Source organism: Homo sapiens, chromosome 3, assembly GCF_000001405.40.
Source record: "Homo sapiens chromosome 3, GRCh38.p14 Primary Assembly".
NCBI classification, from domain to species: Eukaryota; Metazoa; Chordata; class Mammalia; order Primates; family Hominidae; genus Homo; species Homo sapiens.
This window is the reverse complement of record NC_000003.12, coordinates 167,682,896-167,704,287: the sequence shown is the minus strand read 5'-3', so window position 1 is coordinate 167,704,287 and position 21,392 is coordinate 167,682,896. Positions and strand designations below refer to the sequence as shown.

At 34.5% G+C, this 21,392-nt stretch overlaps 1 protein-coding gene and 1 pseudogene across 12 annotated transcripts in view, besides 1 other annotated feature; both read left to right on the top strand.

The window, feature by feature from the left end:
• The window catches only part of PDCD10 (programmed cell death 10), a 51,595-nt gene extending 30,605 nt beyond the window's left edge, over positions 1–20,990 (top strand). For all 12 annotated transcript variants that reach the window (NM_145860.2, NM_145859.2, NM_001439202.1 and 9 more), the window contains 5 exons: positions 7,162–7,279; positions 8,566–8,692; positions 16,595–16,673; positions 16,972–17,054; positions 19,899–20,990. In NM_145860.2, coding sequence (NP_665859.1) covers positions 7,162–7,279; positions 8,566–8,692; positions 16,595–16,673; positions 16,972–17,054; positions 19,899–19,980 — 489 coding nt within the window. In that variant the 3' untranslated portion in view covers positions 19,981–20,990. The remainder of the gene's footprint in view (positions 1–7,161; positions 7,280–8,565; positions 8,693–16,594; positions 16,674–16,971; positions 17,055–19,898) is intronic.
• HMGN1P8 (high mobility group nucleosome binding domain 1 pseudogene 8) lies at positions 9,646–9,933 on the top strand (annotated as a pseudogene).
• Positions 12,612–12,751: a silencer, noted in NCBI's record as "silent region_14866". NCBI's record gives its function as "represses an Ori minimal core promoter by ATAC-STARR-seq in GM12878 lymphoblastoid cells {active_cell/tissue: GM12878}" and the evidence as "EXISTENCE:reporter gene assay evidence [ECO:0000049][PMID:35858748]".

The window sequence follows — 21,392 nt, the reverse complement described above, 5'->3', positions numbered from 1 at the left end:
CCGCTGTGATCCAGCCTGGGTAACAGAGCAAGACCCTGTCTCAAAATAAAGTAAAAATTTAAAAGTATTTGTAAAAGTGTAACTTGAAAAGGTATTCTTTCTATTGTTTAATTATAGAACATGAGTCTAAAAAACGTTTTTCAGTGGGAAAGTAATACCTTCAAATATGGTGAATTAAATATACTTTGAGGATATACAGTTAAGTTACTCAAAATAAATGTTTTCCTTGTCTTTAGACTTGAGCTGTTCAGTGGGTTATCACTAGCCACATGTTGCTTTTGAGCATTTAAAAATAAGACTAGGTCAGATCAAGATATGTTCCAAGTTAAAATACACACAGATTTTGAAGACTTCATATAAGAAAAAGAAAGTAAACTAGCTTAGTAATAAATATTTTATAATGATTACATGTTGAAATAATATTTTGGATGTACTATTAAAATAATTTTACCTGTGTCTTTTTACTTTTTTTTAAATGTGGCCGCTTAATATTACATAGGTAGCTCATAGTTGTTGCTGATATTACATTTCTGTTGTACAGCCCTACTCTAGAGACTTACTGTACATGTTGAATGCATTCTTTAATATAAAACTTTTATCTGGTCCTCCATCCCAAATATATATTATGGTGCCCAAAACTTTAATTTTTATTTTTGCATTCCTTCCCATCAGTAGCTCAAATAACCTGTGTTTTAGGTAAAGTATTTTAATGTTTAAATGTGGAATACATTTATATTTTAATTGGAGTTGAAACTATAAGCCCATTCTGCTTGATTTCTTCCATGTCACACAAGTTTATTGATAACACTCTTTTCTGGTAGCACAAGTCATGTCACTAGGTATCTCATATTACTTTAATAATCTACATTACGTATGTTAGAATAGAGCTTTTTTGATTTAATATTCTGTGATTCAAGGTGAGTACATATATATTTAGTAGCTTCATTAAATTGCATCCTGCCAAATCATTGGGTTAATGAAGCAACACCATAATCATTTTCTTTTTTTTTATTGTTGTTTTCTTCTTTGAGTGTCAGTTTGGCTTTGGAATGGCATATTTGGTCATTAGGGAGACATGATGCTATCTTAAGCATCTTTGTGGCCAAAAGAAGAAGGAAAAGTAATCTGTACAGTAGTATTGCTAAGAGAAAAGTCAATATTTCAGCTTTTCTAATGCCAGGAACAGAGAGAAGAAGACCCTGTCCGAAGGAGTAGATAGTATCTTCAATGACATTCATAAAATAAAATAATAAATTTCCTGAGGGTTTTTCTTGTAACATCCTAACATATAAGCTAATTATCTAACACTTAAGTACAATTATGTGACCGTGATAGATGTGGTTTGATCCATGGATAAAGTTTGTTGTCTATGGCATAGATTACTTATTTTGGAAGAAAACAAAGTAACTAATTTTACACTGATGTATTTTTAATTATCACATTTAGTTTGTTACATTTCAAGTGAAATTGAAGGAGGACATGTTAAAAATGTAAAGATGCTTGTATTTTTTAAATTACAACTTTTGAAAAAGATGAAAGAAACCTCACCAGTCATAAAATCTTTTATATTCATAATTCCAATTATTGGTCCGCAACGACAATAATTTTCATCATGGTTTTTGTTATTTGGAGGGAAAAGAGGATTAAAATAGTTTTTCCCAAGATAATACCATTGAATATTTTAATGTATATACAGTTAACCTTTGAACAGTGTGGAGGTTAGAGGTGCTGACCCCCTGCAGAGTTGAAGATTTGAGTATAAGTTTTGACTTCCACAAATCTTAACTACTAAAAGCCTACTGTTGACCAGAACATCTTACTGGTAGCAAAAACAGTTGATTAACATATGTTTTGTGTATCCTATATATTACATACTGTATTCTTAAAGTCACAGAAAAGAAAGTGTTATTAAGAAAATCATAAGAGAAAATATATTTATTATTCATTAAGTTGAAGTGGATCATCATAAGGTCTGCATCCTTGTCGTTTTCACATTGAATACGCTGAGGAGGAGGAAGAAGAGAAGGGGTTGGTCTTGCTAGCTCAGGGATGTCAGAAGTAGAGAAGGTGAATGGGGAGGCAAGAGAGGCAGGCACACTTAGTGTAACTTTACAGAAATATGTTTAATTTCTGACTTATTTGCTTTGTCATTTCTCTAAAAATGTTTCTGTACAGTACCAATCTTCCAACATTTGCTTTAGTTTCAGTGCTTGTATCAGAGAAGGGTCCATGTCATAAAGCAGCCTTGAATAAAGAGAACTCTTCTGCTGGGTTGTCTAATGTCCATTTGTTTTCTGGCACTCCTTTGTCTTCTTCCTCATTGTCCATTAGCTCTTAAATTTCTCTGATATCCATATCTTGAAACCTTTCATCCTCTACGTTTTTTTTAACCATATCTACAATCTCTTTCATGATTTCCGTGGCTCTGTTGTAAATCCTGTGGAGTCATGCACAACATGTGGACACAGTTTTCTCCAGCAGAAATTTATTGTTTTAGGCTCGATGGGTTTTTCTATAACAACAGTAGCATCAGTGGTGTAATTCTTCCAGACTTTCATGGTATTCTTTCTACCAAGGATTGTTGACAGCCATTTCCATAGAGGCCTTATGGTTCCATGTATAATGAGCTTTAAAGGTTCTTGATCCCCTGATGTAGAGGCTGATTTAGAGGTGTGGTGTTTTGGGACAAGTAGGCCACTTTGATGCCTTTCAGTGTTGAACTCATGGGGTTCTGGGAAGCAAGGGACATTATCCAGTATCAGAAGAATTTTTTTGAACAACAATAATAATAAAGGCTAGGTGCGGAGGCCCATGCCTTGTAATCCTAGCACTTTGGGAGGCTGAAGTGTGAGGCCAGAGGCCAGAAGTTCAAGACCAGCCTAGGCAACATAGGAAGACCTTGTCTCTAATTAAATATACAATACATATATATGTGTGTGTATGTATATGTAGATATCTCTGATATCTATATATATATCTGATATCTCAATATATATCTGATATCTGTAGATCTAGCTATATAGAGATATATAGGTATCTCTATAGATATATATAGACAATCAGAAGAACTTCAGAAGACCATCCCTTCCTGCCAAGATGCTTTCTAACCGCAGAAACAACGCATTGATGGTACCAGGCTAGAACAAGGGTTCTCTTTGTCTAGGTCTTCTTGTACAACCACAAGACTGGAAGCTGGTGTTTTTCTTCTCCCTTCAAGGCTTGAGGGTTTAGCAGCATTATAAATAAGGACAGTCCTGATCATAAACCAGACTTCATTTGCACAGAACAGTAGAGTTGTCCTATCTCTTCCTGCCTTAAATTCTGGTGCTCACTTCTCTGCTTTACTAATAAATATTCTTTGTGGCTATTTTTTCCTTCAGAATAGGGCACTTTGATCTGTATTAAAAACCTTTTCAGGCAGATATTTTTTTCCTCAAAGATTTTCTTAATGGTGTGTGGGGACTTATTTGCTGCCTCTTGGTCATCAGAATCTGGGTCTCCTGTTATCTTGACATTTTTTAAGCAAAACCTCTTTCTAAAATTATCAAACTATCCTTGGCTGGCATTAAATTCTTCAGCTTTAGACTTTCCTTTTGCTTTAAGTTGTCATAGAATGACTTTGCTTTTTCTTGAATCATATTAGGGTCTATAGGTATGCCTTTCTTATAGATATCCTGCACCAACATAAAAGCTGCATTTTCAACAGGAGACAAAAAGGTATTTCACAAAACATGCAAGGTTTTTGTACCTGCTGATGTAGCTGCAGCAATGGCTTTGTTTCATGAATTTCCTTTTTTTTTTTTCTTACAGTGAGTCTTAGACTGTATTCAAGCAATTCAGTATCATGCAATACACCTTCTTGTAATGTCATGACTTTGCTTCTTGAGCACACTTCCAACATCACTAGTGGCACTTTGTCGGGTCCCATGGTATTATCCCATGTTTAAAGTATTGCACTAAACACGATGAGAAAAATATGTGAGGGCTGGGAGGTATTACTTTGTACTGGGATGTGCAGTTTGCTGGAGAGATGAACTGTTCACATGGAGTTGATTAGAGTCACATGGCGTTTTAATCATATACTTACTAATACTTGAACTGACTGCAATAGCAACAGGAGGTGGCTTCAAACTTATTACATATACACGTGTACTACAGTTAATTTTGTGCAGTTATGATTTAATATTGCATCTGTATATTTGTTTATATTTCTTTTAACTGCAAATAACACCATGTACAGTCTGTTTGCGTGTGAGTTTTGATAAATTTTAACTTTTTAATAATTTGTATCTATTTTATAGTAAATACTAAAATAGACTAGTGGATAACTATATTTTATGCATTCATAACATGTGTTTTTATTATTTTTTTCACTACTTATAGGCTACTCAGTTTGTCTATAAGTTTTTTCAAATTGTTGCTGATCTCCAAAAATTTTTCCTATATATTTATTGAAAAGTATCTGCATGTAAATGGACCTGAGCAGTTAAAACCAGTTCTTCAAGGGTCAGCTATATTCTACTTGATTCCCTCTCCCCCTTATCCTCTATGAGAGGTTCCGATAGGTTGTCCGTCTTCCAGACTGAGAATCACTGATCCACAAGAGTGTATGTTGCTGCCCTTCGGTTTATTTTTTTCTTACAGCTGGATTCTTTACAAAGATTAGACACCCTACAGGGTTCATGTTGTATTCTGAGGGAAAACCTAAGAGTTGTAGATTGTCTCCCTGATTTAAGACCATATTTATTCATTTTGTCAGTCAGAGCCATTTGGTAAATTCAAGCTTTTGAAATAAGAATTAGCTTAACCAGGTTTTTAGCCAGGAGGTACTGAGACTACTCCTTCCAAACTATGTACTGAGGTACCTGGTGGCCCATAGCAAATTCAGAGGGGTGCCACGAAGTATTTTAAAATTGTGAAGGTGTACAGTGATACTCAACATCTGTTTGACACTGCATGGACTCCTAGCTTGAGATGGATTGCAATTTAGCATATTGGATTGTCCTTCACTGCTTTCATTGGTGTTAGATCATTGAGAAGCTGGACTTTTTGGCCAGTGCTATGATCTAACAGAAGTACCAGAAAAAAATATATCTGCAAGAGGAAATGAGAGGGGCAAGGTCCAATCTAAGACCAATGTTTGAGAAATTATGAAGTGCCCAGTAGGCACACACATCCCAGTAATAAGTGACAATAGTTATTTAAGAACAGAGTAAAAATTGTTTTTTTCAATTTATGTGTATTATTTTTTTAAAGGCTAGGTAGTTAGGACACTATACTTATTAAGTTGTTTAGACCTAAGTATTTAATAAACAGCACTGTGAGGTGTATCTTTTGGCACTAAGGACACTGAAAACTGAGAAAGTTAGGGACCTTTGTGAGACTTTTGTAATGCTCTAGCTTTAGCATTTTGGGGTCCCAGACCAGCTTGGTATTGAAAACTTTATTCTCAGACTTTCAGCATTTTAACCTTTCAGTACTTTATTATAACTTAATCAGAGATATGCTTTTCTTTTTCTGTCCCCTGCAAGCACATAGAGAATGTTCCCCCTCTCCCCAAGATAATTCATTATGTAGGAAGATTTATTGCTAGATAAGATAAAGTATTGTTACTGAATGCTACATTATATGTAATTTTGTGGCAGTTCACCGCATTAATGCTATAACAACACATCTTAAGCCATATTTGGACATCTTATAAAGGAAACTCCTTTTTTAAAAAACACAGTTTTTTTTGTTTTGTTTTGTTTTTAATACGAGGTCTTATTCTGTATCATAGGCTGGAGTGCAGTGGCATGATCATAGCTCGCTGCAGCCACGAACTCCTGGGCTCAAGCAGTCCTCCCATCTCAACCTACCAAGTAGCTGGGACCACAGCCACACCCCACCATGCCTGGCTAAAAAGTAGATTCTTTTTAAAATATATATCCATGGAAGGAAAAGTCAACATAGGCTGTAAAAGAAACAGGATTCAGTCAAACACAGTTTATTGTTATTAATCATCTATCAAAATGATTTTCCTGAATAGTATCTGACAGCATTTAAAATGATCCGAAGATTGGAATAAATGCGTGTATTTTCTTTTCTCATTTCATCCCACAACCCTTCAGTTTTTGATACTTGAGATCTAATGAGAAACAAGATGTTATAATGGAAAGAGCAATAGGAAGAGAAGAAAACTGTATCTGCAGTGATAATCAATGGAATTGAAGAGGCGGAGGTTAAGTGTGCTTGACACATAAGGAAACAAAAAGATTGCCATCTGATTAAGATCGTAAATTGTGTTTCTATTTTGCTGTTTAATATTAGGGCAAAAAGGAAAGAAAATCATCAGCATAATGATTAAAATTGGCAGGCATCCTACAGGAAACAAACATCAAGTGTGATTACAGAATTTACTGGGAAAAACTGAAATCTGAAGATTAACTCTGGCTTTGGTAAACTCAGAACTCTATGCCCAGTCTTGAAATGGCTAGAAAATTTTAGTGTCTTGGGGAGTCTAAGTAACATAGAACCAATGCAAACTCAATGAAACAAGCTCAAAAGGTAGTAAAAGGTTTCATGATGTTCTAGAAACCAGTGAAGGAAATATTCTTGCTACAAAAATAAAATAGGAAATGAAAATCATTGTGTGGGAAAATAGTTAAGGTATTATTATATAGGTTCAGTAAAACCTTCAAAATAAATCCTTTTTTGTTTTTCCTGGCATTCTCTTAATATAAATGGAAAGAATATGCAAAACACTAGTCAGATGAGTTATTGCTTGATCCTTGAGTTGCAGTATTAGCACATTAAAAAAAGCTTAAATTCTCAAGATATTTAAAGTAATGAGAATAGCAATTGATAGATTACTAAAACATATATAATCCTTAATTCTATCTTTGTTATTAGTTCAATTGCAAAAGAGTATAAAGAAGAGTAGAAAATACTAAGTTCTTTCTGTTCAAATGGAAAATGGAACCTTAGTCATAGTAAAGAGTCGGGTGCACAAGCTCTAACAAAGCCTTAGTGAATGCTATCATGACACCTGCTTTACAAAGATTTCTGCCCTTAAAAGTTATCAGTGTAAGACGCTCCCAACAGATTCTAAACAATTAAACTTTGGCTTTAAAATGTTGATTCCTTATCTGTATTTCAAAACTAGTTTTCTCTTTATTATAGGCTGAAAAAGAAAATCCAGGTCTCACACAAGACATCATTATGAAAATTTTAGAGAAAAAAAGCGTGGAAGTTAACTTCACGGAGTCCCTTCTTCGTATGGCAGCTGATGATGTAGAAGGTAACGGACAGAAGAACCTTGTTTAAGTTATACAATTGTTAAATAGCACTTCCTCTAAATCATTATTATTTGACCAAAGGATCTTCCTTCCCTACTGTTTTCCCTCCCTCCCTTTCACTTATGATGATGATGGTGGTGGTGGTGATAGTGATAGTGGAAGCTAATGTAGATAAAATAGAAAAATGGTTTTTCTTGCTTTTTATATTTGTGAGATTTAATTACTTGAACTTTGTTTATGCTGCATACTTCAATTTTTCCCCCCTTTATGTTTGGTGAGTTTCAGTTTTACTAAAAGATAAGCTTATTTGGAATGTGTTGACTTTAAGCAAACAACAGTTTGAAAGTAATGAGGTTTTTGTTTTGTTGTTTTTTTAACTTTAGTACAGCATCTGTGTTTCAAGCACAGATTTAAGAGAATAATATAACCATCCTTTTTACTTTTCTTATTTTTTTTACTTGAAATTATTTAGACGTTGGTTTTACTTAAGTTTAGTAGCAGTTTTCCCACTAATTTAGAAAAATATGGACATATAATTTCCCAGAATTATTAAGGAAGAACACAAAGCAGGTATTTTAACTGATTCCATGATTTTAAGAAAGCCCTTATCATTATTTAGAGTTGAGCATTTGCAGCCCATTAGGCCATAATATATTGATGAATTGGTAGAGTTGTAATGCTTCCAAGTCTGCAATGAATCTAGTGAAGTCTCCTTTCCAAAATTGGTGTTCTGTGATCCCAGCCTGTGTGTTGGATTTGTGCTGGTGTTTTTGTTTTTAAGTGAGATTTCAAAAATGTGTAGAAGATTTTATTAGATTATTTGGGGTTTTAATATGATGAAGCAATGTATATTAAATATAGGGGTTTTAAATTTTTAATCTTTCCAGTTGGCAAGTAGATATTACCTTTGCACTAGTTATGACACTCATTATTTAATTTAAGGTTTCCTTGGGAAATGTAATGTCAGAGTACGGTTGAACTTAAGCCTCCCTTTTAAATCTGTTTTTTTTTTGTGTGTTTTTTTTTTTTAAGATTTCATGGGATGTCCTTTTGTCCCAAATTGAAAATATTTATTCTTTCTTTTTGTGATACTTTACTTGAAGGGAGCCCTGCTGTTGTTACTGGACTAAGTCAAACGCTAATGAATTCTGCTTTGCAACCTTGTCTTTCCTAATTATCTGGCCTTTCACCTCCCTCACCTGCCTTTGACCAACATTGGAAATTCTTAGATGTGATGAATTTGGCAGAGAGTCGCAGGATGTTTTTTATTATGTATTTATTTTATCAGAGTATATGATTGAACGACCAGAGCCAGAATTCCAAGACCTAAACGAAAAGGCACGAGCACTTAAACAAATTCTCAGTAAGATCCCAGATGAGATCAATGACAGAGTGAGGTTTCTGCAGACAATCAAGTAAGCAATTATTTGTTTTGTTTCTTCTTTTCTTAAAAGTACTTCCGAGGAACTACTCATCTACATTTTTTAATTTTGGTATGACTAACTTGAAATGCTTATTTGAAATAAAATCTCAAATTTTTAAATACCACATTTTATTAACTTTATGGCGTTTGGTTTCAGAGTACAGCATTTTTTAGAATGTTTAATTTTAAAACAACAATGAAATGTGCATAAACTGGAATGTAGTTTGAACTACATAAATGATGGGAAGATATAAATGTCAGATAAATGAATAGAGAAACTGGATATATCCTAGAGATTGGTAGTAAGATATACCAAAATAATTTTTATTTCAGAAATAGCAGCAGTCATTAAGGTAAGTAACGTACTCTTAGGCATGAGTAGTGTTTTCTAAGACTGACCAAATAGCCTCTAAATCCTTGCCTTTGGGGGATATAGGTTAAATAAGACCAAGAATACTCATGGGGCCAGAAGGCTGGCTGGTGAGCAGCAGCAAGAAGGGTCATCCTAGAGCAGTAGTTCTCAGACCAGGGACACTCTTCTGGAGTACAGTGAAGGGTGAGAGGGTAGGGGATTGAGTGAAAACATAATCCCTACATAAGTATCTTTAAACTAGAAAGTCTGATAATTTTCTTCAGCCTCAGTGGATAAAAAACAAAGAAAGCTGGGAATACTTGCAGTGTCACTATCAATGCATGGTTTTGGTGAAACCATAGGTAGATATTGCTGGGGAGAAAAGATTTAGCGCAGGTCTTTTTCTGGAAGAGGCTGTGACATATGTGGTAACTTTGAAGAACCTAAGGAGACTCACTTGGAATAAATAGTAACATTCATCTTTTGGAGTTTGGGCAGTGGGAGGAGTGGCAGCAGCCAGGCAGCCCAGCTTTGTGAAGGCCCTCAGCATGCCATGGCCCACATGCATCTGATATGCGCCTTCCCCACTTCCAGGATGCCCAAGAGGACGGTCAGCTCAGCTGATGGGACAGTGAGGGAAGATCCCAAAAGGAGATTGATGTGGTTGTCAGCTAAACCTGCTCTTTCAGTAGTGGAAATTGAAGCCCCAAAAGGTAGCAGGAAAAGATAAATCTTCAGGCAAAAAAGTGCAAACAAAAGAGAAAAGAGTAGGAAAGTGAAAACAAGCCAAAGTAGCTAAGAATAAAGATTTACCTGCAGAAAACAGAAAAACTAAAACTGAAGAGAGTCCAGCCTCTGAAGCAGGAGAGAAAGAAGCCCAGTCTGATTAATATCGCATACCATGTCTTATCAGTGGTTCCCCGTCTCTCTTCTTACATAATCCAGGAGAATATTTTTATCAACTATGTTGTAAATGCATGTTTTTTAGTAGCTCTAATGTTTTTTAATAGCTCTAGAAACATTTAAGGAGGGAATTCCACTGCATTCCATTTTTTAAGTGTAAATGCTTTTTTTTTTAAAGAGGTGAAATAATTTAATTTGCTGGTTATTTTTTGGTACAATGGGAAAATAATGTTGGATATTGAATTATGGGAAGCCTTGACTGTTATGGGTGTCAGCTTAACATTCCATAGATGGGTGGTTAGTTTTTATATCCCATAATATAAAGCATACTAAATGGCAAAGTGGAGTCGCAGTCCTGCATTTCATGTCTTGAACATTTTTAATTACTTCACTCTGTCACCCAGGCTGGACTGCAGTGGCATGATCATAACTTACTGCACCCTCAACCTCCTGGGCTCAAGCAGTCCTTCCACCTCAGCCTCCAGAGTAGCTAGGACTACTGGTGTACAACACCACACCAAGCTAATTTCTTTTTTTTTTTTTTAATTTTTAGTAGATAACCACATCTCCCTACATTGCCCAAGCTGGTCTCTAACCTCTGAGCTCAAGTGATCCTCCTGCCTTGGCCTCCCAAAGTGTTGGGATTACAGGAGTGAGCCACCACACCTGGCCTTAAATTACTTCTACTCTTCATGTTGTTTTTTAGTGGAATTGTTTCCTTGGGCAAACCACTCCTTGAGCCTGGCTCTACCTATCAGAATTGTGTGCACTCTGTAACATCTTTGGTCATGGTAGTCCTGTTTTTCTAATAACTTTGTTAATGTGCTGTGAAAGATTAAAGTATATAGTGTATATGCTATTAAATTGTGAATTGGTGGGACGTATGTGACAGCTTATCAACATTTGAAGGTACTGGTACTTGATAGCCTTTTAAGGTAATTTTGCCTCAGTTGTAAGCTGGAAAGTCACTGGAATAACTTTAGAGAATAATAATGATACGTGGCTTTTTAGATTTTGCAGTACATATGTTCAGAATTATGTACAAGTTGAAATGTCTGTGTACTGATCCTCAACACAACTGATGAAATCTCAATTATGAAAGAAAAAGAAAACATTCATCTTTTGAAAATAGTATTCTTTGTCATTCACATTGAGAAATGCTATTTTAGCTTGTTTGGATACCTAGCTAGTTTGGATACTCTCTTTTGAGTCACATAAAGAGAGGAATATGTCCCATAGAAAATAATGGTTCGTGATAGGTATGCAACCCAGCTATCAAGGAATGACCCTACTCTTTGACAATAATTAAGGGCCAGGAATATAAAAAAGGCTTTTAATTGAATAGCCAAAATCTGTGTCACAAGGGACAAACACTAAGGGTTTTTTTGTTTGTTTTGTTTGTTTGTTTTGTTTTTGAGACGGAGTCTTGCTCTGTCGCCCAGGCTGGAGTGCAGTGGCGCCATCTCGGCTCACTGCAAACTCTGCCTCCCGGGTTCATGCCACTCTCCTTCCTCAGCCTCCAGCGTAGCTGGGACTACAGGCGCCCGCCACCATGCCTGGCTAATTTTTTGTATTTTTAGTAGAGATGGGGTTTCACTGTGTTAGCCAGGATGGTCTCGATCTCTTGACCTTGTGATCCGCCTGCCTTGGCCTCCCAAAGTGCTGGGATTACAGGTGTGAGCCAACACGCCTGGCCTAAGGGTTTTGTATTTTACCTTTCCTATGGGAAAGCCCCAGCTTCCTTTTCTACTTTTAATATGTGAAGGAGGAAGATAATCAACTGTTCATGGAGTTTTATTTTTAATCTGGTACAAGTTGAGCATCCCTAATTTGAATATCAAATTCTAAATGCTCCAAAATCCAAAACTTTTTGAGCACCGTGACATGACACCATAAGTGGAAAATTCCACGTCTGACCTCATGTGATGGATGGGTTGTAGTCAAAACACAATCAAAACTTTGTTGTATGCACAAAATGTATGCATATATGGATGCACTTTATGAAACATAAATGAATTTCATGTTTATACTTGGGCCTCATCCCCAGGTCTAAAGACTTCTGGTCTCAAGCATTTTGTTTAAGGGATACTCGCCCTGTATAGTTAAAGTAAACATGTTTGGCCTGTAAAAGGATAAATTGTCAGTGATCCCAAACTTAGTTGTTTAGACTATTTATTTCTAAAGTTTTGAAATAATTTGGTAAGTTTTCATTTGCTTTGATAATCGTGTACTTGTTGATGAGCCATGACACATTTCTATGAAGATTTGACATTTAAAATAATATTTGCAGCAGATTTTGCTTCAGATCATCGAAGTAGGTTTATATAATCAATGTCATCTTAATAACAATCATTTATATAGGACTTATTATATGCTAAGCACTATTTTAATCACTTTACATTTATTTACTTATCACAACAACCCAGTAACAAGTGAGGAAATTGAAGCAGGCACAGAAAATTAGGTAAGGCCACAGAACTTACCTATTAAGTGGTAGAGCTGGATTTGAACCCAGGCAATCTAATGCCAGGTGTTCACTGCTGTTTCCCAATCACAGACTTCCAATGTTGATGTAATCTGGAGATTGAAAAATAGAGTTTCTGCCATTTGAAAGAAATGTGAAAAAGGATATTTTAACATAGAATGCCAGTACGTGAGAGAGATAACAGTATTGTGGTTGAAACTGGCATAGAAATGTAGGCCCAGAGCTCTCATCCTGTCACTTTGACATCCTCTTTCCCCCTACAGAGTCCCTGAGACATCTCTGCTAAACCGTCTGTGACTCTAGGGAGCTGCGGTTTGAAAACCACATTATTAGCAGCACATTTTAGTCATAAGGAAATTGAGCTTAAGAGTCTTGTCTATAGTCATTGACAGAGGCTTTCTTTAGGGTGTTGTTTTCTTTATGAGGGAGTAATAATACTTCAGTTCTGTTTTCTAGAGTGTACTAATTTAGCACAATTGAATTAAGAGTAATGGTGGCAATGAAAATTTACTTCCTAACCATTTGAGGAGGGATAATTTGCCCTGGCAAGTTTGTTGATATGTATGTTATTTCTGAGACTAAAATTCAACCACATATGAATAGCATAGATAGGCTAAAGTATAATTATTTGTATCACTGTCATATATTGGTACATTTTCATGTATGTTCTTACCATTATTAATTGACAAATTAGTGGATAAAATTGCACTAAAATAGAAAATGATTTCTTCTTCAGGCGTTTCTCCAATATTTTACTTTCTTATATCTAAGGTAGTTATCCCCTTTATTCATTTTAGCAACATTTTTCAATAAGCATATGTCATATACATATTACACCAAGTACTATAGGTGATGCTATAGATTGTATCAAAGTACAAGTAAAAAAGAATCCTGACAGCTAATAAATATTCAGGCAATTTTGAATATATTAGCAGACCTAGATTTGAATCTGTGTTCCAACATTTAGCTATGTAACCTTGGATATAAGTTGCTTAACTTCTGTCATTTTAGTTTGTGCCTCTGAAAATGAGGGTAATGACTTGTGAGAATTGAAAGAAATGATGTACATGAAGTGCCTAGCACAGAACCTAGCATACATTCAACAGTACATGCTATAATAACATTGTGAAATGAGGATTTTCCTCCCTTTTCTCAATGGAGTTGATAAGGAAAAATGATCCAGCAAATATTTCAAAAGGCCTTTTGATCAATGAATGTGTGTGCCTGAGTACATTTGAGCTATGCAAATATGTTATAAAATTAATTTGTATTTTTTTTGAAGTCCAATACATCTCAACTAATGGAAAACTAGTGGAGACTCGTGATTTAACAGACCAAAATAAAAAAGCCAGGCATTTATTTACTGTTTGTAATCTGCATTTGCATATTCTTAGGCTAAAATTCAGCAAGGTTTATTTGTTTTAAGTTAGGAGTTTTCATGAAGGGTTCAGAATAGATTTTTTCAGAGTTTTCCAGTCTAAACCAAACTCAACATAAAGCACAGGGATTCCCTTTCATTAGTGCATTTGCATAAATGCGTATCATGCAAATTTGGGTGGCATGATTAGAAACTCTACTTTTCTATTGCAGTTTTTTGATAAGATGTATGTTTACGTTTCATCTGAAGCCTTTGCCTTTCAGTGTAATGTTTCGCAAAGCTGCGCTATTAGGTTGGTGCAAATTGCTAAGTTCCTTCTCCTTCTACTCATACTATCTGCCTCTTATCACAGAATTCATCTGCACCAAGCCGCATTCATTAGTTATGCGATATTTATTTTACCCTCAAGTTTTTTCTCAGTTCTTTATCTGGTTAATTGTCTATAGTGGTTTTTTTGTCCTGGTATTTTCTCTCGTAGGAAACAAACTCTCTGGTAGTTACTAATATAATTTAGCTTCTCTATGTGCACACCTTGGTGCCATAAATGAAAATACTTTTCTGTGTACATATGGATAACATAATATTTGACATACATTGCTGCAGATTGTTTCTAGAGAACATTTTTTCTACAATTTGGTAGGCATTTAACAGTCTTTTGCCTCGTGTCCAAACAGAGGCTTAGGAATAAATGGCCTTGGTTGACAGAGAGCTCTGTTCCAATAAGGCATTAAACCTTAGCTCCAAGTTTTCAAACCTGACTCATCAGCAGTCACCTGAGGAGTTGCGCCTCCCCCCACCCCCTTTTAAAATAGAGATTTCCAGTATTTATCAGCAGGTCTTTCTTTTTTTGTCCAGCAAAACCCTCCCTTCTTCTCCCCTGTGTTTTTGTCTCCCTAGGTGCATGAGGCAACATGTTTCAGACCCACTCTTTTGACTTGTAGAATCTAGCCACTGTTATTGTATATGAAACATACGCTCATTTTGATGACTAGCCCCGGAAACACATTTTATTCCTCTTTAGCAGAATATTGAAATACACTACAAAGTAAGACTATATAAACTTCTGTCTGATCACTATGTAATTTGCTCCATTATATTCCATTTTAAATAACTCCATTGTGGATTTGGAGAAGCTTGCATATTTAGAGATTTGACATGTTTTATTTGTTGAAATTGTAATTTTTCTCACAGAATAGTCCTATGACAGCATTTTATTAAACAATAGTGGGTTTATGTCCATCACACCAATATACAAAGATTCAACTTAAGCCATAAATGAAAGGAATAGTTATCTAATTAAAAACTGCTGTTACTAAACCAGAGGCAAAAAAAAATTAGATAACATTTATGTAAGACTTACTGTCCTACTTGAATATGTAATGTTTCAATGTTTCAGCCCAATACCAGTGTTTGACCTGAGAGAGGTAATAAGTAAAATATTATTGAAATAATCAATGAAAATGGAATTACTACTTCAGAGTACTCTAAAATACTTTTTTAAAAAATATCAAAATTCTGTATGCTTTTAATTCTTAAAATTTCTACAAGCTTATTTACTGAAAAATATGCTGGGAAACACCCACATGCACACAGAAACCTGGACACTGAGGTTTTTTTCCCCTTGAAATAGGAATGTTGAAATGTTTTAGATAGGAAATAACTGAAATCTGGCATTTGTAATTAGTATTAGTAATAAAATGTTATGTTTAGGATGGTGCAGATTTCCATCTTATTCATTTCTTCACAGTTGCATTGCATTTGAAGTTTTTGTTGTGACTAACAGCTAAGAGAATGACTGTGAAAAAGAAGGTTTGTCGCAGAGAATGTGAGACTATTTGAGAATGCAGAATTACATCAAGTTCAATTTGGCGGAAAAAAATTGCTATGAGGTTAAAATGTGGAAATCAAAAGGGGCTAGTTAGAAAGGCAAAAAAAAGTTCAGAAAAAATGGTGCATGGATAGGAAGAACAGTCAACTCAAATGAGAATTATTCATTTCTTCTTTTTTTTCTTTAGAAAGGGGAGGGAGGTGATGATGCATATATAGTCAAAGGATGATTGCTGGGAAGGTTAAAGTGCAAGAATATTGTGATGTTGTCTCCTCTAGTAATTTAAATATTTTCCAAAGGGAATAGTGACTGATAGTAAGTGTTTGAAAGAGGAGGATATTTGGCTGCTAGATAGAAGCTAAAAGTGTCTGTAAAAGAGTAAGGGAGGAAGAATATTTCCTCAGGGGAGAGGAATATTTTCTGAGGAGGAAATATTTTATGTTAAACATCAAAACTAATAGGTATCTAGCATACAGCATTGTTAAATACAGAATTGAGTTATATGTAATGCAGAATATTATAAAATTGTTCCTTGTTCAAATAACAAAAGTAGAGAACATGGTAGCTTGAATTTAGCTACATTAGCCAGAGCAAAGAAAAATTTTAAAATGGGAAAAGACAGGCATAGGTAATGTTTATCTTTTTATAAATTTGAGTAAGGAACGCTTAATGAAATGTGATTGATTTGAGAAAGTTGGTCTTGGTTGGCAACCTTTGGTCAGCAGTGCAAGAGAATCAGGATTACAGAGGGGTATAGGCTAAAATCCCCACTCCAACCAGCTAGCCGAAAAGGCTGGCTGTTCTTGAAGTGATTGCGCTTAACATAATTAAGAGTGTACTGTGATTAGATTAAGAGTGTACTTAATTTCTTTCAAATGTAGCTGATGTTCTTTTCTCTCACAAATTTCTTTCAAATGTAGCTGATATTCTTTATTCTTTTCCCAACAGGGATATAGCTAGTGCAATAAAAGAACTTCTTGATACAGTGAATAATGTCTTCAAGAAATATCAATACCAGAACCGCAGGGTACGTTTAGTAGAAGCCTTGCTAGTTGACACCCTAGATGTTGGTTTATGCCTAGTTGTTTTATTGACTTAAAAATAAGATTGATTGTTGGAAATAGTTTTGTGTCATTAACCATTGAGTTTATTCTTGAATTTAAATATGCCTTTTTATTTAAAAGTGAGTACTCCACAATTGCTTATTAGTAATATTCATATAAAGTGCATCCCATATCCTGTGTAATCTCTTGTCCTTGCCTTTGGCTTTTGTGATTATTTCTCTTATTTAGTACTTTATTTCTTATTATATTTTGTGACTGTAGGCACTTGAACACCAAAAGAAAGAATTTGTAAAGTACTCCAAAAGTTTCAGTGATACTCTGAAAACGTATTTTAAAGATGGCAAGTAAGTACTGTAATTTATCCTTTACTTTTAAAATTAAATAGATTATGTGGTTTTATATGATATGAAAACCACATAAATTAAGCCCTTTTATTTTATTATTAGTACTCCAGGCAACTGATAATGAAGGCAGACCATTAACAATAGAAAATGAATGGTTGCTAATCTAGCCATAACTCCTTTCTAGAACAGGAGTTATCAGACGCTTTCTGAAAAGAGCCAGGTAGTAAATATGTTAGATTTGGTGGGCCTGTTGCCGTTATCCACCCATCTCTGCTGTTGTAGTACAGAAACAAGCCATAGACAATGTACAAACAAGGGGGTGTGACTGTGTTTTAATAAAACTTTATACAAAATTCAAATTTCAGTATCTTGAAATAATTTTTACCTGTCATATAATATTCTTCTTTTGTTTTTTAACCATTTAAAAATGTAAAAGCAATTTTAGTTCATTGGCCTACTTTATACACTCCTGAAACAGTGGTTCTCAAACTTTAGTGGCATCAGAGTCATCTGGAGGACTTGTTACAGTCAAATTGCAAATTGCTCGAGGGTCCCACTTCTAGAATTTCTGATTTCGTAGGTCTAGGATGGAGCCTAAGAATTTGCATTTCTTAGAAATTTTCAGGTGATACATTACAGGTCTATTGAGAACTACTGCACTAAAGTTAAAGCAATAGTTGTCAATCCTTTCTGTGCATTAGAGTCACTTGAGGACAGTTTTTAAAAAATTCCCACTGCCTAGGCCCCACCTGCAGAGATTCTGATTCAGTTGGCTGGGAGTGGAGTCAGGGTTTAGATATTTTGTAAAAGTGCCCCAGATGTTTTTAAAGTGCTGTAAGGGTTTTGACCCACTCTCCTGGAAAGAGGCTTTCACAGCATCATTCTATAAAATAGGAAATATACTAAAATGTAAATTGGACATTATTTTTTAATTTATATATAATTGGTTGTGATGCACTATAGAAAACCAAGAGATTTTATATATTTTAACATACATACATGCATACGTATAATGTATAAACTGATGGAAAGTCTGGCCGTATAGGTAGTTATTTGCACTTCAAGTCAAATGTGAGAATTTTTTGAACAAGATTATTTTTTAACAGTGCTTAAAGTCAGAAAAGTAAATAGAGACCTCAATCATTCCATCCTGCTATTCAGGTTTTAAGATCTCTATATTCATGTCACATCATTACAGTATTATTGTAGTAATATTTAAAAATGATAAAAATACATTAGATAGAATTATGTTAATTTTCAGAGTCATTTTTAACAGTTCAAACAGGTTGAAGTATTTACATTTATATTATGAATTAGAGATATCGAGCTAAATTTTATTACTTGTTTTGTGGTGGTGTTCCATACACAGGTTTGTCTAAGGGAAATGCTCCTTGATGACTTAGTTTAATAAGCTGGCATTTGTGTTTTGAAAATAAACTTTTATTTGATTTATGCTAAGCTCAAATAACCAAAAACACATTAAAATAATAATTTACATGATGGGATTATTATTTCTGATTTTAAATTACTATTATGGAATAAGCACAATGAAAGGTAGACATTAATTTAGAGACTAATTTTCATTAATTAATTGAAATTATTTACTCTGCATATGGATTCAGTGTCGTTGCTACTACTTTCTCTCCATTCAGCAGCTTTTTAAAATTCCAGTTCTTTGTGTATCAATAATGTGCTTGAGTTTTATACCTGTTTCCTCAAAACAGAAAATTATTGATAGAACCTGATCTTTAGGCCATCTTTCAGTAGGGGGATGGATTTGCATTGATTCAGCTATTTCTTCCTGGCCCTTCTCTTTTTTTTTTTTTTTTTTTTTTTTGGAGACAGAGTCTTGCTATGTTGCCCAGGCTGGATCTGGGCTCACTGCGACCTCCAGCTCCTGGGTTCAAGCAATTCTCCTGCCTCAGCCTCCCGAGCTGGGATTATAGACACATGCCACCATGCCCGGCTAATTTTTGTATTTTTAGTAGAGACAAGGTTTCACCATGTTGGCCAGGCTGGTCTCACACTCCAAGAGACCTCATGATCCGCCCACCTTGGCCTCCCAAAGTGCTGGGATTACAGGTGCGAGCCACCAGGTCCAGTCCCTGGGCCTTCTCTTTTGAGAAATGTCTAGGATGCGGGTGCATGCTAGATATGATACTAGGAAACTGTTGAGGCCACACAGTGGGACTAGGGCATCATCTCTGAATCCCAGCTGCATGAAGATGAGCCATTAGGAGAATGTGGTGGGGCTCAAAGCCAGTTTTAAAGAATATATTTTTATATGTTGTCAGCTCCCAGATTTTGAAACTGCATGATTATTTTGTTTTAAAAGTATGTTTATAGTAAAAGTAGTTTGTAGTAGTTTGTAGCTTAGAATTTCTACCTTTTTTTAAGGAGATAAAGAGATTGGGATGAATCAGATTGGAAGTAATTAGATTTTTCTTGAGTATTATGCCCATTAATTACAAATTTTGAGATTATGATACTTTGCTGGATTTTACTTGTTAACTTCTATGAAACCACAGCTGGAGACCACATCTGAATCCTCCTTTTGGCCAGTTAACTTGTTCCACCTATAAATGAACTGGGTTGTTGAGGCACTATCATTAGCAGTCCTCCAACATTTTATTACCAGTCAGAACCACCAGGGGGCAGTAATTACTAGATAGTTTAAAATGATGCAAGACTATTATATCCTAAATTGGAATAAAAGTTTTAATAATACTAACTTGTCTTTTTTTTTTTTCTAAAATTGATTCCATTGCTACTGTTAATAGTATAAATCTTAAAAGGGTGAATTTTTTGGATGAAATTAATGCTTATTCTTTTCTTTTTAAACAGGGCAATAAATGTGTTCGTAAGTGCCAACCGACTAATTCATCAAACCAACTTAATACTTCAGACCTTCAAAACTGTGGCCTGAAAGTTGTATATGTTAAGAGATGTACTTCTCAGTGGCAGTATTGAACTGCCTTTATCTGTAAATTTTAAAGTTTGACTGTATAAATTATCAGTCCCTCCTGAAGGGATCTAATCCAGGATGTTGAATGGGATTATTGCCATCTTACACCATATTTTTGTAAAATGTAGCTTAATCATAATCTCACACTGAAGATTTTGCATCACTTTTGCTATTATCATTCTTTTAAGAATTATAAGCCAAAAGAATTTACGCCTTAATGTGTCATTATATAACATTCCTTAAAAGAATTGTAAATATTGGTGTTTGTTTCTGACATTTTAACTTGAAAGCGATATGCTGCAAGATAATGTATTTAACAATATTTGGTGGCAAATATTCAATAAATAGTTTACATCTGTTAAACATTTCTTTACTTGAAAAAATGCATATATATATGTGTGTATATATATATATATATATATATATATGAACAGAAGACCAAGACAACTTGGTGTAATGTCTAAAAAACTTCTAATGGGAGCTTATCAGCAGTTTATCAAATAATAAAGCAAGAATTTCTATTTTTGTCCTTAATCACTTTGGACACAGAGTAGTCAATGGAAATATTTTTGTTAATTACTTATAAGGTACTGAGTATTTTTATATGATTTCCAACCTGTTTTAAACGACTTATGAGTAAGAGATAGCATTTTCTAGTGTTTTTGCACTATAATGCCACTTTTTGAACTCTTGTGACAAATGTAGATTTGACTCTTAAAAATTAAGCCTTTCGTATACTGGGCCCTCATAAGCTTTGCACAATTTTTTCCCAAAAAATAGCCACAATTAATAGTAATTTGAAGCTATATCAACGGTTGGATTGAAATTGTCATGAGTGTTAATATTATATACACTCTTCAACTAGGTACAGTTTTATTTCACCATAGAGAAGTTTTAAGGAAATTATGTATCAAGTGTTCATGTTAAGTGGTTTCATTTTTCAATTATAAAATAAAGGGAAAAAATCAGAATTTGCTTATCTTTTATAAAGATTTTAGACGTTAAACTAAGTTTCTGTTGACAGTATATTTTTTTGCTGTTATGCAACTCAAGTTATTTTATTTTTTCTCCATTTTAAAAAACAGATTTTTAAAGAATTATCATTGGCACCATAAAAGTAGAACATCCTGTTAAATGTAAATGAAAATATGTTGAAAGGAGCAAAAAAAAATAGGCAATTAGATGAAAATTGGATGAAATCTCTTAATTAATGAACATTTTACTGACCTGATTTTTTTTTTTCTTCAAAGATATGTAGCCAGTAAGACAAATAGAATGCTGATCTTTATTTATTTTTGGCATAAACTATCATTCACTCTTGGAGGTAGATGGGTGATCATTTGCCGAATAGACTTGTGGATATATGAAGAAAA